Genomic DNA, 19,033 nt, shown 5'->3' with positions numbered 1-19,033 from the left:
AAAAAAACAGTAATGTGGTTTATCTAAGCTCGGAAATCATATACATATGGAAGTGTGCATACAACAAGCATCAAAAAGATTAAAAATTCAGATAAATGTGGATCTGATGCGTTAGACACAATAAAAGAACACAAACGATTGTTTATATTGAAACAGTTAAGTATTACCCAATCTGAGGGAAATATCCACAGACTTCAGTGTTAGAAGGACCTAGACTCACATCCCAGCTCTGCAACTCAAATTCTATGACCCTTGTGCAAGTGACTTCAGCTCTCTAAACCAGAGTCCTAATTTTTTAAATTAAGAACAAAACTCCCATCTAGTATGGCTGCTGTGAGGAATAAACGAGATACTGTACATAAAAAATACCTAAGACAGTATCCTAGTAAAAGTGTATTTCTCCTTTCTATCCTTTTTTAAATCTATTAGTTGATTTGCTTTGGGGCTATAGAATAACATCCAAGGTGACAGGTGCCTGAAACTCAACAAAAAACAACTATTACGAAAAGGGAAGTATTAAATATTTTATTTAGTCTACCTATAGAAAAAAGTCTGGATTAACGTATATCAAGGACTTAACAGTATTTTTGTTTATGTTATAGGATATTTTAGTCCATTCAGGCTGCTATAACAAAATACCATAAATTGCATGGCTTGTAAACAACAAAAATGTATTTCTCATAGTTTTGGAGACTGGGGAGTCCAAGATAAAGCACCAGCAGATCTGGCATCTAGTAAGGGCCTGCTTTCTAGTTCACAGATACTGTTTTCTAACTGTATCCCTGCAAGGTTAGAGGTTAGAGGTTAGAGGGGCAAGGTAGCTTCCTTAGACCTCTTTCATAAGAGCACTAATCATCTTCCAAAGGCCTCACCTCCCAACACCATCATTCTAAGGGTTGAGTTCAACATACGAATGTTGAGGGGACACAAATATTTCAGACCACTGAAGGGGGCTGTAACTTTGAAAGCCCATATTTCACTAATATTTGAAATATTTTATAATGATAATTTATTACCTTGATGATACATAGGAAATATAAGCTAAAAAGGAGAATAATTAACCACAGCTATTATATACAACTCTTTCACTGCATTTACTATATCAGGTATGTTAATCCCCTTGGCTATTCTCCTTAGATTTCAAAATTTACTTAAGAGGACCAAGTGGACATGTTCAATGAGTAGAAGGAAGAATCCATATACAAATGTCATTTTTTGGTCAAGATGTGATTTTTTGGCTATCAATCCTTTTTAACAACTTGTATCCTTAAAACATATTCAGGCAAAACTTTTGATTCACAGACTTTGGCTTTCCTTACGCTTGTATTTTCCATTCCAAATAATAGAATGTTCTTTAACCTGTCCTATACATCAAAAATTTCAACATTTATTTGATCATCAAAACCCTTTCCATCTCTTATATAGTGTGCTACAAGTAGACACTATGGATATGTGATAAACCATTTGGTATATCATGAAGGTCACTACTTTCTGATTCTTTATGATGTAATCTAAACCTTGCTGTTTTTAGTAACTATTCTAAAGTGGGAATGGTTAATGAATACAAAAAAAAGTTAGAAAGAATGAATAAGACCTACTAGTTGATAGCACAAGAGAGTGACTGTACTCAGTAATAATTTAAGTGCACATTTTCAAATAACTAAAAGAGTGTGATTGGATTGTTTGTAACACAAAGGATAAATGCTTGAGGGTATGGATACCTCATTTTCCATGATGTGATTATTATGCATTGCACGCCTGTATTAAAACATCTTATATATCCCATAAATATATACACCTATAATGTACCCACAAATGTACTCAAAAATTTAAAATTATAAAATAATAATACATGCCGGGCATGGTGGCTCACGCCTGTAATCCCAGCACTTTGGGAGGCCAAGGCTGGTGGATCACAAGGTCAGAAGATCGAGATCATCCTGGCTAACATAGTGAAACCCCGTCTCTACTAAAAATACAAAAAAAAATTAGTCAGGTGTGGTGGCGGGTGCCTGTAGTCCCAGCTACTCAGGAAGCTGAGGCAGAAGAATGGTGTGAATCCGGGAGGTGGAGCTTGCAGTGAGCCAAGATCACACCACTGCACTCCAGCCTGGGCAACAGAGCAAGACTCTGTCTCAAAATAATAATAATAATAATAATAATAATAATAATAATAATGATACCTATGCTATATTCTTGGCACCTGTTCATCAGGGGATCTGTGAAAATCTTTGGAGTCCTTTTCTCCCAAGCCATTGAAAAACTACACATTTCACATTTGGGCAGCTACTGTTTTACTTCTGGCTGTTTCCTGCCATGTATTTCCTTTGAACTCATTAAGCTGGAAGCTTCCTGAGGGTTTGCATTTGGACAGTCTCCCCTTTATATCCTCAGCAAATAATAATGAACCAGAATAGGAAAGAAGTTTCTTTTCACATTATACTTACTGTTCTGTCCCTAACAAGAAAGCCAATTCTTTAATTTGATGGCAACCTCTATAGGCAAAAAATACTCAACTGATCTACTTCTTTGGGCTGAAAGCACCCACCTCTTAGCCACTTTTTTAAAATAGAAAACGGGATCTAATATTGTTGAAAAGGGAATTCAAAGACCAATGCACTATATTCCAAGAACCATGACATATGTTCAAAATAACTACTGACCACCCTTTCAAATTATTTACGGATTATATACAGTATTCTTGGAAAGCAAGAAAGAGAGAGAAAAAAGAGAGAGAGAGAGAGAGAAAGAGAGAGAGAAAGACAGAGATCTTTGATCTCCATATCTAAGAAGTTTGGCATTTGTAACATCATTATTCCCACAGGGCTACACTGTTTTCTCCTTCGCCATGTATTATAGCAATCTGTTATACTCCTTCTCTCTGTCCATGCACAGAAGAGAACATATGGGTTTTATGATTAATATAATGAAAAATTACCAAATCTAAGATTATTCATATGTTTCTTGCTATGCTCTGCTTGACGAATGTCATTAGAAACCCAATCCTAAAACTTTTAATGAAACTTTACAGGAGATTAATGTCTATGAAAATACGATCCTGAGTTAAGGATATATCTGTCCTTAGAGAACTATCATGAGAGAGAAACAATATGAATCAAAGAAAATAAGAGCTGCAGTCAAAATCTCAATGGGCATGGAGTGGTGCATTAACTACAATTAAGCAGGGAAAGGAAAAACACAGAAATATTGGGGGGTTTCTACATAGAAACTATTTTATAAAACATTAATTTTCATTTTTTAAAAAGAACATTTCTCTATGTAAGTGACTGAAAGCCAGTTTCTCCATTTCCCATAACTAAGCACACCTGGCTGAGTCCTTTAATAGTTTTTTACCCTAAGCCTCATCAAGCAGGGCAATATTTTAACAGTTGAAATGAGCAAGGAATTAATCTTGCTATCTTAAGCTCAGTTTCTTGATGTTTCTGAGGTAAGCCTTTGGGTATCCAAGCCGCAGTCACCTATTACCAGTTCACATTCACCAGTGCCACACCAAAGTCTCCATTCACCAAGTCACAGTCATCGGTCACCAGTTCAGTCACCAAATGCCAAGTCACAGTCTCTAGTCACCAGGTTAGTCACCAGTCACTAAGCCACAGTCACCAGTTACCACCACAAAGTCTCTATTCGCCAAGTCACAGTCACCAGGTTATAGTCATCAGGCAGCAGGTCACAGCAACTAGTCATCAAGTCAGTCAAGTAACTGAGTTATAATCACCAAGTGACAGATGTCAGTCTGCTATGGTCTGAATGTTTGTGTCCCCGCCAAAATTTCTATGTTGAAATCCTGATGTTCAAGGTGCTGGTATTAGAAGGTGGAGCCTTTGGGAGGTGATTAGGTCATGAGGGTCCTGTATAGAATGAATGTCCTCATAAAAGAAACCCAATAGAGGGAGATTCCTTGTTCCTTCTCACCATGTGAGGACACAACTATAATAGAAGGCTCCAGCTATGAATAAATAGACCCTCAGAAGATGCTCAATCTGCCAGGGTCTTGATCTTGGATTTCCTAGCCTGAAGAGTTATGAGAAATAAATTTGTTGTTTATAAGCCACCCAACTTGCAGTATTTTGTTGTAACAATCTGAACACATGCACAGTTCACGCCATGCTTTTTTAGTTTGATTGACTTTACGAAAGGCTGACAAACCTCTTCTGTAAAGAACCAGATAATAAATATTTCAGTTTTCTAATATCCATATCCTCCCTGCCAGACTACACTACCAACATGATTCACAAATAATTAGCTTGAGTCAGAGCAATGACGTACACTCTGGAGAAGGAGTTTGCTGTGTTGATTTGCTGCAATCTGCTTGACATTAAGATACAAGGTTCTGAGGATAATGATCCCCCAAAGGGCATAGCAAGTTCTCTGAGGCTTAAGTAGCATACTGAATTTGGAATGCATGGGATCAGGATTGAAATGTCCAGTGGTATAAAGAGCAGCATCATTTATCAAACCTGAAGATCACCCCCCACCTCCACATTCTCTCTGTTTCATCTGTATCATGCCCCTAGAGCTTATATGGTAACCCGGTAGCCGTATCTGTCTTTCCCAGGAGATTCATTTGACCCCGCAGTTTTCTTTTAAACTGATATGGTTTAGAACATTTAAAAATCAAATAATTTCTTATAAAAGCTCAGATAGACAGCTTTTTTTTTTTTTGAAAAATAAGTCTAAATAGCAAGAAACAAAAGCAACAGCCAAATAAACAAAAACTGGCTGTTGCCAAGCAGTAATTATCCCATTTCAGTGCTGCATGTGCCATCGCATTTGCTGATGCTCCACCCTGGCCCTCCCTGATTCACTTACTGCTTTACCTACCTAGCCTTGGAAAGCATTTTACCTTGAAAACTCAGCAGAAGAGAAAATAAATGCCAAAAAAGATTAAATTAGCCTAAGAGCATGTCTCTCTTCCCTGGTATAAATGTGAGTCACTGAGTTCAGAGTGTTCCTTTCCCCACTGGAAGAACCGGGTCTCCTTAACTGATCCTGACAGCTTAAGACCATGAATAGATTAGGGAGTCTGAACTCTCAAGACAGAAAGCTTTAGTCTTCAAAGTTGCTCATTGACTCTCCGGGTAGGCACATCTTCTACAGGAGCTCTCCCTGCCCATCAGCCTACTGAGGACATCGAAAGTAAGACTCATAGCTAACCACCATAGGTAAGGCAACTGTGTCAGGCCTGCTCTCTTACTTGAGATAATCTCAACGTGTATCACACAAGATGAAACACCATGGACACCATGATGTAACCAAGTTGGGCCAGTGACCCAGAAGGTTTTTGCCTGAGTCAGAGATGTGAAGTGGCAGGAGCTCATCAAATGTGAATTGTGAGGGAAGGAGAAAGCCCAAGCCCCTTAAAACTGACAACACAGAAAAGATGTGTGTGTGTGTGTGTGTGTGTGTGTGTGTGTGTGTGTGTGAATTCATAGAAGAGTAGAGGACACAATAATGGGAACTTGGTGATGGATCTGGTTGTTTTACCTGACAATACACATCCCTTGATCACAGAGTAAGGTCTCATGGCAGATGATACCTAGGACAAATGTACAGTCAGGCTTCATGGAGAACATGTTCTTCTGAGCCATGGGGCTAGAAATTTCTATCCAGTTCCCTGTAAGAGTCATCATTCAGAGAGTAGGAATAAATAATTTTTTGATTGATTTCAATTTATCCATGGTATGAAGACCCAGAGCATTATTTAAGGCCCTGTAAAAAATGCTGCCTCTGCTTTGAATGATTCTCTTCTGCTCTTCTACTCTTGTTTACTGATAACCTGGTTTCTGATTTTAAATTTGCTATTTTACATGTAAATTTTATTTAACTGCGTGATGGCTTTAATATATTTTTTAAATTTTTTTTTAAACAGCTAGTCTACAAAAGAAAAATCACAAGGCCCATTTGGCCTCATTCCCAGAAATGAAATGGTCTTACAAAATAGCACTTTTCTATACCACCACCACTCCCAATCCTCAGCTTCCCTCCAAACCACAAGTAACATTTCTGCCTGTATTAGTTAATTATAGGTATGAGGTACATGATGCTATATAATTTTGAGTATAATTAATTCTAATCTTTTTATGAGCAAAATATGCAAAACATTTTATAACAGCGATTTAACATACTTACAATGAGTAAAAATGTGAATTCACCTTTATCAGCATACCTGAATCTCTATTTCTCTCATCTTAGAAATAAAGACTAACATAAAACTGGCCTTAAGTAGTTGCAGATTCTTTGCCTAATCTTCTCTTTCACCATTTCCCACTCAAATGACCCTCTCTTTCCCTATTCACATATGGACTCTTATTGCATAATTTTTATTTTATTCAACAGTAAGTTTAGTATTATACATGCTAGGTATAAGCATGATAATGGACTATAGGTATATAAAGAAAAGTTTAACACTATATTTTCTTCAAAAATCTCATAATATTTTAGAATATATTTAAGTTAAAACATTTTACTAAGGGCAAGGCGGGCAGATCACGAGGTCAGGAGATCGAGACCATCCTGGCTAACACAGTGAAACCCCGTCTCTACTAAAAATACAAAAAAAATTAGCCTGGCGTGGTGGCGGGTGCCTGTAGTCCCAGCTGCTCCGGAGGCTGAGGCAGGAGAATGGCGTGAACCTGGGAGGTGGAGCTTGCAGTGAGCTGAGATCGCGCCACTGCATTCTAGCCTGGGTGACAGAGTGAGACTCTGCCTCGAAAAAAAAAAAAACATTTTATTAAGGCATTTATTTCTTTTATCAACTACAAATAACTGAGTACCTAATAACTGTCTGTTATTGTGTAAAGATGGGGTAAAAAGAAAAATCACTGCTGGTGATATCATGATGTTTACAATTCAGTGAGTGGATGATAGACAAAATGCATAAATTTAATATGTAATTAAAATAGAATAAATCTTATGAAGGTAAGTAGGATGCTGTAAAGACTAATAAAGGAAGAAATGTACTAAGAGATAGAAATTGCAAGGTCAAAAAGGGGCAGAGACATCAAGACATCAAATGAAAATCAAGAGAGCCAAGAAAGGAGACTTTAAATGAAAAGGATGGTCCATTCTGGCAAACAGCACTTTGCAGAACTGAGGAGTATTTTCTCATATGCCTATCTGGGCTGGGGGTTGGAGAGTGTTATGGAAAACATCTCAGAGAAGGTTACTCTGGAGTTGGGTCTTAGTACATATACAGAAGTCTGACAATATACAAAAGGAAGATGAGCCATATTTCTAGCAAAGGGGATAGATATACAAATGCATAGAAGTATAAAAATGTATAACCCACTTAGGTATGAGAAAGCCTACCCATAGAGCTGGGACATAAGTTCTTCAGTTGAGAGAAACAGTATCTGAAATATTGATAATGAAGTATGAAGAGGTCTTTCATGCCATAGTTAGGAGTTTGAACTTTATCTGGTAGAATACTGAAAAAATTTATTTTACATAGAAAAATGATGTGACCACATTTGTATTTGAAAAGGTCACTCTGATTATGAAGGACTAACACTAAGGGTAAGAATTTGGCAGAGGAAAAAAGAAGTAAAAAGGAGTACATTCTGATCATAACATAGAAAAAGTATATAGAATACAGAGTCTCAGTGTGATCCACCAAAGTAATTCAGTTATGAATTTATGAAGTTCAGAGTTATGGTGGTAGAAGAAAGTACAAAAAGCACAACAGATACAATAATGGAATATGCCCCAGGAGTTGACATCAGATAATCCAGAAAACTTAAGGGAGGCACAAAGCAAAAATGACTATAGGATTTATGATGGGAGCCCCATTAATCCAGATCAAAACCTCCTCTTATTTAAAATAAATAAATCAAAGGGATATCAAAGAAAGAATTACACATTCGAACCTGTGGTTCAAGAAAGAAGAAGCTTGAAGATTGTTATTTTTAGAACCATTCATTTAGCAAGTACAGTTGGATCCTTGAAAGTACACAAGAGAAAGCAACGTATAAGCCTTTTATAATAACTATAGATCCAGAAATACAGAAGATTAAGTACCAATCTATAGCCACAGCCTATATTTGGAGGCAGGAAAGACAGTACTAAGGAATATATTGAAACAACATCTAAAGGAAAAGGAGAACCAGAACACTAATGTGCCATGATATCCAGTAGATGAGAAGACGATGTTTTCAGACACTGGGTGAAAACTGACGTGTTTAGAGAGAGCAGTCACAGTAGATAAACAGAAGTAGAATCCAGTTGGCAAGTAGTTATGTGTATTAGCAGTAAAAGAAAATTCTTGCCTCTATATCCATTTCACTCTTTCCATTTCAAAGGGAGAATAAATTACTGCACTAGTTGCTCAGATTCAGGATTGTCATCTGACCACCTCTTACTGGTACGAAGAGTTATTCTACTGCAAAATGTTGTTTTTTTCTACTCTGTAACCCAAGATTGTACAACAGAGTCAGGGTGCCCACTTGGAATATGGCTATTTTTTCTTCTTAAAAACAGAGAGGTCGTGGTGGGCAGATTGCCTAAGGTCGGGAATTTGAGACCAGCCTGGCCAACCTGATGAAACTCTGTCTCTACTAAAAATACAAAATTAGCTGGGTGTGGTGGCACATGCCCATAATCCTAGCTGCTTGGGAGGTTGAGGCAAGAGAATTGCTTGAACCCGGGTGGCGGAGGTTGCAATGAGCCGAGATTGCACCCCAGCCTGGGCGACAAGATCAAAACTCAGTCTCAAAAAAAAAAAAAAAGAAAAGAAAAGAAAGAAAAAAAGGAAATGGTGGTTAATAGCGAATACCCAGCGGCTGATTTTGTTTTGCATTATCACTTGGGCAACGTAAAAAGCAAATTCAGAAATTTTGGATATCCTAAGGCAAGATTTGGTTATTTCTGCAATACTAAGTGAAATACATAGTACCACTAAAACTCCTAACAGGGAAGTGAGTGAGAAGCAACAAGAGATTATGAAAGTATACTACTGGTTCATTATTGAGGATATAGTATTTTTAGTTTTTAAAATTCTATTTTTTTCTTTTTATAGTTTATTTTTGTCCACTGAAATTTCCTAATTTTTAATGTACTGTGTACATTCCTTTATGTTCTTGACACAGTTCTCATAGCTGGTTTAAATTTGTTTAATTGGAACATTTGGGTCATTTCATGGTAGATCTTTTGGTTTCAGGTTGGTGTGATATGGAGACCCCAGATTTTGTTATTTTTCTCTGAAAGGTGTTGCTTTTTTGTTTTCACAGATAGTTTACTTGGTTGAACTCAGATTGCAAATTCTGTCTCTTGGTTGGCACCTCAAGTCTCAGTTCATATCTTTTGTCCCTGGCTGACCTATTTGGAATCTATTCCATGCATGAATATGTTAAGGATCAGCCAGAGATTTAGACAAAGTTTATACAAAGAGCTTGCAGCTCCTCCTGTCTGTCTCCTTTCCAGGGTTCATCTCTCAATTTTCAGAAGCAGTGATTGCCTTGAATTCTGTCTTTTGAGTATTCAAATGCCAAAGGCCCCTCAAACACCTTCAAATTAAGATGATTTCTAGATTCCTCATCATTCTGCCAGTGATATTCTGAACACAGCATGATTTAAATGACCTTGTTTAAATACAATTTTTAAGAAAGTTTCTGTTAGTACAAAACATTTTATGGCGATTATCTCCCTTACCCAGGACAGGATATTTTAATTCATGCTATTAAGATTGCATTCACATTGTGGTAGCCATCAGTTCCTTTAAAGCTTCAGAACAATTAAAATCATCAAATTGTTCTTTTGTTTTGTTTATCACAAAGCAAGTTCTCAATCAATATTTGTCAATTAAAAGAACATCAACAAAAGCCTCCTCTACTTTGCAGACATGCAATTTATTTAGGACTTGACCTAAAATTATCTCCACATAATTTCAATGGGTTTGTCATAGATTCATTCATTAATTCATATTTATTCCTTCAGGAAATATTTATTGTAAACCTTTCAGGCACTTGGGAACACAGTAATGAACAGCACTGACAAAATTATTGTTCATATGTAATTCATATTCTAATCTGGGGTGCTAAATAATACACAAGCAAACAAGTAATATTGTGAGATAATGCAATTATGAAGAAAATAAAACAGATAATATGGTAATATAGAGTGAGAGAGGACGTTTTATTTGAATTGAGCATTAGTGATGTCCTATCTAAAGAAGTGTCATTTGACCTGAAATATGAATGCTGACATCAAGCCTATGAAACAAGTTGAAATCTAGGTGTTATCATAGTGATCTTTTTCCTATATTTGAGCCATCTGCAGATAACTCTATGTCTTTTTCTCATTCTTTAGAAATCCTGAAAAGCTCAGAGTCAGAGACATAGCCATGTGACAATTCAGTAAATTGCTCTTTTTTTTTTGGAGATGGAGTCTTGCTCTGTTGGCCAGGCTGACGAGCAGTGCAGTGGCTACTCACCAGCATGATCATGGCACACCGCAGCCTGGAGCTACTGGCCTCAAGTGTCTGCTTAGTTCATTATATTGTTCCTTCTGGCCAACATGCTCTATGAACCCTCTTTGGGTATTTTAAGTCATGAAGTAATGATTCCATTTAATGTTTATGCAGTGTTTCTCTATCCAGTCATGATTATATCATCAGATAATTTATTCAATTATATTTTTCACTTATTAAATTTTTTTCTCCATTTTTTAACCAAAGCAATTTACACTGGTTTGAGTTCTATATCATTTGTCTTTATCTTTCATCCCCTCATTTATTCCAAATGACAAAGTGCACATATATATGTATGTATAAAAATAATAGAAGATAAAAAATTTCTGAGCGTGGGCCAGGCGTGGTGGCTCACGCCTGTAATCCCAGCACTTTGGGAGGCCATGGTGGGCAGATCACCTGAAGTCAGGAGTTCTAGACCATCTTGGCCAACATGGCAAAACCCCGTCTCTACTAAAAGAAGACAAAAATTAGCTGTGCATGGTAGTGGGTGCCTGTAATCCCAGCTAGACCATCCTGGCCAACATAGCAAAACCCCGTCTCTACTAAAAAAAAAGATAAAAATTAGCTACACCTGGTTATGGGCGCCTATAATCCCAGCTACTCGGGAGGCTGAGACAGAAGAATTGCTTGAACCCAGGAGGCGGAGGTTGCAGCAAGCCAAGATTGCACCACTGCACTCCAGCTTGGGTGACAGAGCAAGACTCTGTCTCAAAAAAATTTTTTTAAATTAAAAAAAATTTCTGAGACTGTGAACATGGCAAGTATTCATCTTTCCTTTTTCGCTAAACTACCAAGTGTCAAAAACAATGTCTCTTACATAGTAGGTAGGCAATAAATGTAAAATGAATTATTAAATAAAATAATTGAGTATAGAAAGATATTCAATTAAATGGCCATAAAATAAGGAAATAATTGATACAATCGGATAAATGAAAGGGTTTTAGCAAACTGTTATATCCTGGACAAATGGAGCATTTTCTACATGAGTAATGGAGGTAACATTATCATTCTTATTCCATAGCAACATAATTTATGACATCAAATTCCTGGTGGGCAAACTGCCATTACAAATTTCGTGTTTTATGTCATGATGCATATCACAGTTCTTCAGATAGCATCTAGTAAGTATGTATCTTGACATAGTCACCTATTAAACTTTACCTATGGAAGAAAAATGATCCAATATAATATAGTAGATGAGAAAGATTCTCTGAGCCCTTATTTAGTCATTCCCAGAGAAGAAAGTGGTCACTTTGAAGAACAGTCCTTTCTAAAATGTTTCTTGATGCTATACATTTTATACCAGTTTTATAACACATCTTCATAACAAATTGTACGCTATCTTCCATCATCTTCTAATTGTTGGTTATAGAGATAAGCCAGTTAGGAAAGAAAATCCAACCTGATTTGAATTTATTTCCTTCTACTAAATGTTATTTGCCAATACAAATGTAACGTGCACACAATCTACCCTAAAAGAGAACAATATTTCAGCAAGCATGATGGGAAAAATTTAAAACTACTCACATCACTTCAAGGAAATGCACCCTAGGTCTGGTTTTGATATAATACACAGCATATAAATGTTTCTGTATATAGAGAACACAGAACACTTCATTATAAATTTTAATAAATTACAAAACACTTAGGAATGCTTAGATTTGTACATGTTAGGTTGGTTATTTCACTTTTCTCTATCTCAGACTAATTAATCTTTATTCTTATATCTTTTGAACCATATTTTAATCTCCTTAGTATGCATTATATCCAAATTTTTAAAAAATCTTTAGAATTATGGTGTTAAACTGGGCACACAGCTCCAATAACAGGTGTTTAATAAGTGCTGGCTTTCCTGGGAGGATCAAGGCACTGTGCTTACATGCTGTTCTCAAGTCTGTGAGTCCCAAGGTTATACTCACAAATGAAAGGAATGCAAGAACTTCTAAAGGAAGGAAATCAATGAAAATATTTCATAATTACTTTGCTTCCTTAACATTCTGAAATAAAATGTTTGCCTCGACAATATATATAAGCAGCACTATCATTTTAGAAAATGCATGTGCACACATAAACACTCCTAGGCTAGACCCAAGCACCTACAGCACTGAGCATTTGCACATTGATTTCAGGGTACTATATTAAGGAATAATCTGATATTTTGATCGCTATGGTCAAATAAAAATACAGGGGAATAAAAAGTCAACCTCCAATGAGTCATCCTTATATATCTTCAGAAAAACATATTTTACTCCTTAAAAGAAAATAATATATTAACAATATTCTCAGTGCTTCCAAATTATTTTATGCTTATATGTTTATATAAAATCTTTATAATTTTAATGCTTATAACATTTTATATGTTTATATAAATATCCTTGGAAGCACCAAGAATATCATCAATCATGTATAGCCAGAAATAATGTTGGAAGGTAAGAAAATAAAAATAATACATTAATAAATGAAATATCTTCTTACCAATAGTCTCTAAGCTCAATCTAGAAAAAGGTAATTATCCAACTGAGAAAATAAATTATTTTGTATTTTTTTAGTAAGGCATTTCTCTCTTTTTTATTAAAATTTTAAACGAACACATGAAATACTATGTATTTATCATGTACAACACATGTATATACACTGTGGAATGACTAAATCTAACCAATTAACATATACATTATCTCACATTGTTATCATTTTTGTGGTAGAAGCACTTTACATCCACTCTTTTAGCATTTTTTAAGACTACAATACAGTCAACTCTTGAACAACGTTGGGGTTAGAGGTACCAAAACCTTGTGCAGCTGAAAACTTGTATATAACTTTTAACTCCCCCAAAACTTAACTACTAATAACCTACTGTTGACTGGAAGTCTTATCAATAACATAAACAGTTGCTTAACACACATTTCATAAATTATATGTATTATATACTGTATTCTTACAATAAAGTAAGCTAGAGAAAAGGAAATGCCGCTGGGTGTGGTGGCTCAAGCCTGTAATCCCAGCACTTCCGGAGGCCGAGGCAGGTGGATCACTTGAGTTCAGGAGTTCATGACCAGCCTGGCCAACATAGTGAAACCCTATCTCTACTAAAAATAGAAAAATTTGCTGGGCATGGAAGTGCACACTTGTGGTCCCAGCTACTCAGGAGGCTGAGGCACGAGAATCACTTGAACCCAGAGGCGGAGACTGGAGTGAGCCAAGATTGCACCACTGCACTCCAGCCTGGGTGACAGAGTGAGACTCTGTCTCAAAAAAAGAGAAAGAGAGAGAGAGAAAAGAAAATGTTAAATCATAAGGAAGAGAAAATATATTATTCATTAATAGGAAGTGGATCATCATAAAGGTCTTCATGCTCATTGTCTTCATGTTGAGTAGGCTGAGGAGGAGGAAGCAGGGGTGGGTCTTGTAGTCTCAGGGGTGGAAGAGGTAAAGGGAGTGGAAGGGGAGGCAGGAAAGGCAGGCTCACTCTCTGGAACTTTTATTGAAAGAAGTCCACATATAACTAGACCCACACAGTTCAAACCTGTTGTTCAAGGATCAACTGTATATATTCTTTTAATTTTTGAAAATCATTTTAAAAATTTTCTGTGGGTACATAGGTTTATATATTTATATGTGGGTATAAGAGATGTTTTGATACAGGCATGCAATGTAAATAAGCACATCATGGAGAATGGGATATCCATCCCCTCAAGCATTTATCTTTTGAGTTACAAACAATGCAACTGCATTCTTCAAAATACTATTAAGTATAGTCACAATGTTGTATAATAAATCTCTTGAACTTATTTTTCCTATCTAACTGAAATTTTGCATTCTTTTATCAACATCTCTCTAAATACCCCAACCACCCCACCCCCGGTAACAGCCACTTAACTCTCTACTTTTAAGAGATCAATGTTTTTACATTCCAGATGAGCAAGAATAGTGCTGTAACTAGTGCTGCCATGAATATAAGAGTGCAGATACGTCTTCAACATGGTGATTTCACTTCCTTTTGGTATATACCCAGTAGTGGGAATGCTAGCTCATATGTTTCATTTTTAATGTCTTGAGAAACATCCAGATTGGGTTTTTTAAGTTCTGGGATAAGCGTGCAGAACGTGCAGGTTTGTTACATAGGTATACATGTGCCATGGTGGTTTGCTGCACCTATTAACCCTGTCATCTAGGTTTTAAGCCCTGCATGCACTAGGTATTTGTCCTAATACTCTCCCTTCCCTTGCCCCCCAAATCCCCAAGAGGCCCCAGTGTGTGATGTTCCCCTCTCTGTGTACATTTGTTCTCACTGTTCAACTCCCACTTAGAAGTTACAACATGTGGTGATTGCTTTTCTATTCCTGTGTTAGTTTGCTCAGAATGATGGCTTCCAGCTTCATTCATGTCCCCGCAGAGGACATGAACTCATCCTTTTTTATGGCTGCATAGTATTCCATAGCATATATGTGCCACATTTTCTTTATCCAGTCTATCATTGACAGGCATTTGGGTTGGTTCCAAGTCTTTAATATTGTAAATAGTGCTGCAATAAACATACGTGTGCATGTGTCTTTATAGCAGAATGGTTTATAATCCTTTGGGTATATACCCAGTAATGGGACTGCTGGATCAAATGGTATTTCTGGCTCTAGATCCTTGAGAAATTGCCACACTGTCTTCCATAGTGGTTGAACTAATTTACACTCCCACCAAGAGTGTAAAATCATTCCTTTTTTTTTTTTTTTTTTTTTGAAACGGAGTCTCACTCTGTCACCCAGGCTGGAGTGCAGTGGCACGATCTCGGCTCACTGCAAGCTCCACCTCCCGGGTTCATGCCATTCTCCTGCCTCAGCCTCCCAAGTAGTTGGGACTACAGGCACCCACCACCATGCCCGACTGATTTTTTTGTATTTTTAGTAGAGACGGGGTTTCACCGTGTTAACCAGGATGGTCTCGATCTCCTGAACTCGTGATCCACCCGCCTCGGCCTCCCAAAAAAATCGTTCCTATTTCTCCACAGCTTTGCTAGCATCTGTTGTTTCCTGACTTTTTTAATGATCACCATTCTAACTGGTTGTGAAATGCTATCTGATTGTGGTTTTGATTTGCATTTCTCAGCTGTTATTCATATGTTTGTTGCATCCAGATTGTTTTCCATGATGGTTTTACTAATTTACATTCTTACCAGCAGCGTGCAAGGGTTTTGTTTTCTTCACATCCTTGCCACACTTACCTTTTGTCTTTTTGATAACTGTAAATCTAACAAGTATAAGGTGATATCTTACTGTGGTTTTAATTTGCATTTCCCTGATGATAGTAATTTTGAACATTGTTTAACATGCCTATTGGCCATTTGTATGTCTTCTCTTGAGAAATGTCTATTCAGATGCTTTGCCCATCTTTAAGTTGAGTTGTTTTCTTTTTTTCTTTTTTTGTTTGAGATGGAGTCTCACTCTGTTGCCCAGGCTGGAGTGCGGTGGTGCCATCTCGGCTCACTGCAAGCTCCACCTCCCGGGTTCATGCCATTCTCCTGCCTCAGCTTCCAGAGTACCTGGGACTACAGGCGCCCGCCACCATGCCCGGCTAATTTTTTTTTTTTTTTGTACTTTTAGTAGAGACAGCATTTCACCGTGTTAGCCAGGATGGTCTCAATCTCCTGACCTCGTGATCTGCCCCCTCTGCCTCCCAAAGAGCTGGGATTACAAGCGTGAGCCACTGCGCCCGGCCAATTGCGTTGTTTTCTTACTACTGAGTTGTCTGTGTTCTAAATTGCTTTAATGAAGTATGGTGATTTCTTAGTGGCTGAATTAGACTCTCTATCACTCAGTGGGGGCACTGATTTAACAAAACATCTTCCCCTGCTTTATGAGGATTTGTCCTTTGGTTAACTAACTTTGTTTCTCTAGGCAACAGATAAAGGTAGAATGTCAACTCTGCTACTAGAAAATATTGATTATAATATTATAGAAATGATCCCAGACTTCATTTTGACTGGGAGAAATACAAATACATGATTGAAGGTGTTGGGGACACCCGGTAGGGACACGCACTTTGGGCTTCCTTCCCTAAGTATAGTGATGCCTGTATCCAGAAATTGCCACCGGAAGCTATGCTTATGGAGATAATACAAGAGATTTTGTCTCTTGGCTTGTAAGTAAGATTTTGACATGTGGCTTGTAAGTAAGGGATGCTATGGAATTTACCCATGTAAATCTCACCTCCTTGTATCTGAGATATCACTTGGGAGAAGATAATTCCCTGTTAGCTGCGTAGAATGCTACAAAACTACTGCAGAAGAGAAATGCCTGGCACTGCTCTGTTAGCAAGATAGAGTCCTCTTCTAAGTAGATTGGTGCCAAATATAGTATATGGTGGCCTTATGAGCCTGAGTGTTGACTTGGGCCACCCCTATAACACATATATACATGTAGTCCTTACACACTGAAATATGTTGTAGACATAATGTGCTCAGGTCTCCAGTTTTAAATAAATATGTCTTTTGGGGTGAGGGGGATGGTGGGGAATGGAGTCTCCCTCTTGTTGCCCAGGCTAGATTGCAGTGGCACAACCTCAGCTCACTGCAACCTCCGCCTCCCGGGTTCAAGCAATTCTCCTGCCTCAGTCTCCTGAGTAGCAGGGATTACAGGCACCCACCATACCACCATGCCTGGGTAATTTTTTTTGTATTTTTGGTAGAGATGGGGTTTCACCATGTTGGCCAGGCTGGTCTCCAACTCCTGACCTCAGGTGATCCACCTGCCTCAGCCACCAAAGTGCTGGGATTATAGGGATGAGCCACTGCACCCAGCCAAATATGTCATTTTTAAAGACCTAATATGATATATCTTGTGTGAGTGCCTGTGTGTGTGTATGTGTGTGTATGTATTTGCCACTAACATACTCAGGGTGAGTACTTTGTCTTTAGAGATTATAAATACAATAATAGAACCAGCTGAGACTGGTTTGCTTCTTGAGATCTCCAAGTATCCACAATTTGAAACGATGTCAATGATAAAATATTCTTCCCCACAGGAATAAAAAGCTCCCACTTTCCTACCTTTGCTACATGCTGATGGCAGCAGTGGCCCATCTAGAGCGGCCACTGCCAAAACACTGCTGCAGCAGGGAGGTGCAGCTGGGGCTATACACTCCACGGAGCAGGCAGGAGCACCGTGCTCCACACACACTCCACGGAGCAGGCAGGAGTCCTGTGTGCTGCTGCAGCTGTCCAGATTCAGGCCTCTCTGTGCTCTTGGGGGCAGGCTTGGAAGTGCCTTTCCCTGCTGCCTGCCTTCTCCCTGCTGTCAGTGCCTGCTCCAATATCAGAGGCATGGCCGGGGTTGCATGCTATACTGAGCCAGGGGAGCCGGGGACAAGCGGGAGCCCTGCCCTTTCCAATTTTGCTGGGTAGGAGCTCACAGGTGCAGCTGCAGCCACCCAAGCCCAGCCGTGGACCCAGGTATATCGGTGCTCTTGGAGGCCCAGGAACGACCTCCTGCCCTCTGAAGGCCCAGAAGTGCCTGCTCCCACTGCCTGGCCTCTCTCCACTCCCCCGGGGCACCCACTTCAATTGTGGAGCAAGGTTGGGGCTGAGCCAGGGGGCTTTCGCAGCCCAGTGGGGTGGGCGCACACTCAGGGGAGACCTGACATGCCAGCCCCCTGCCACCTCTGTCCCCTCTGGACTTTGGGCACTGAGGAGCACAGGAGGGAAGCTGAAGGGGGTTTGAGGCAGCTCAGCGCTGGCCTGCAGGCACCCCTCAGCAAGAACAGCCCAGGGACCATGGACCGTAGCAGAAGGCAGACAGGCTCTTGGGCCATAGATCATGGCAGGATGCGGATAGGCTCCTAGGCGGAAGCAGACGGGTCCTGGTGAAGCCTCACCTTCAGTGTTAGGAAGGCCTAAAGCCTCTGTAGGGGCTGCCAGACCTGCTAACTCAAGGGGGAACTCATGGTGCTTTTTCCTGGCCCCACCCATGGCTGCCCATGGACTCACCAGCATGCACTTCCTCCCTCTGAAGAACATAAAATCCTCAGGACTCAGCCAGAGCAAAGCAGAGCAGACATCCTGACAACCAGCTGCAGAGAGCTGTAGACATCCCAATGACCAGCTAGAGAGAGGAGCTACCCTCTCTGCTGAGAGCTGAACACTCATCAGGATGACCTACCTACAAGAGAGGAGCCACCCACTCCAGGGTCTCCTCTCTGCTGAGAGCTGAACACTCCATGGGGACGACCTGCCTGCAAAGAGGAGCTACCCACTCCAGGCCTCCTTTCTGCTAAGAGCTGCAGAGATGGGAGGACCTGCCTGCAGACAGGGGCCACCCAGTCCAGGGCCTCCTCTCTGCTGAGAGCTGGACACTCAACGGGGATGACCTGCCTACAGAGAAGAGCTACCCACTGCAGGACTCCTCTGAGCTGTTCTAACACTCAGTAAAGCTCCTCTTTATCTTGCTCAACCTCCACTTGTCTGCATAACTCATTCTTCCCAGACGCAGGACAAGAACTTGGGCAAATGTGTCATTGGCCACAGAGGTTTCTGGCCAGAAAAGCAACAGCCCAAAGATTCCA

At 39.2% G+C, this 19,033-nt stretch overlaps 1 long non-coding RNA gene across 1 annotated transcript in view, besides 1 other annotated feature; it reads right to left on the bottom strand.

Annotated features, from left to right (window-relative positions):
- The window catches only part of LINC01317 (long intergenic non-protein coding RNA 1317), a 590,861-nt gene that overhangs the window by 131,701 nt on the left and 440,127 nt on the right, over positions 1-19,033 (bottom strand). The window lies entirely within an intron of this gene.
- Positions 3,100-4,299: an enhancer, noted in NCBI's record as "CDK7 strongly-dependent group 2 enhancer chr2:34386814-34388013 (GRCh37/hg19 assembly coordinates)". NCBI's record gives its function as "activates an origin of replication core promoter dependent on BRD2, BRD4, P300/CBP, MED14 and CDK7 cofactors, with strong dependence on CDK7, by STARR-seq in HCT116 cells {active_cell/tissue: HCT116}" and the evidence as "EXISTENCE:reporter gene assay evidence [ECO:0000049][PMID:35650434]".

This window comes from Homo sapiens, chromosome 2, assembly GCF_000001405.40.
Source record: "Homo sapiens chromosome 2, GRCh38.p14 Primary Assembly".
Taxonomy (NCBI): domain Eukaryota; kingdom Metazoa; phylum Chordata; class Mammalia; order Primates; family Hominidae; genus Homo; species Homo sapiens.
This window is presented reverse-complemented; position numbering and strand designations above follow the sequence as displayed.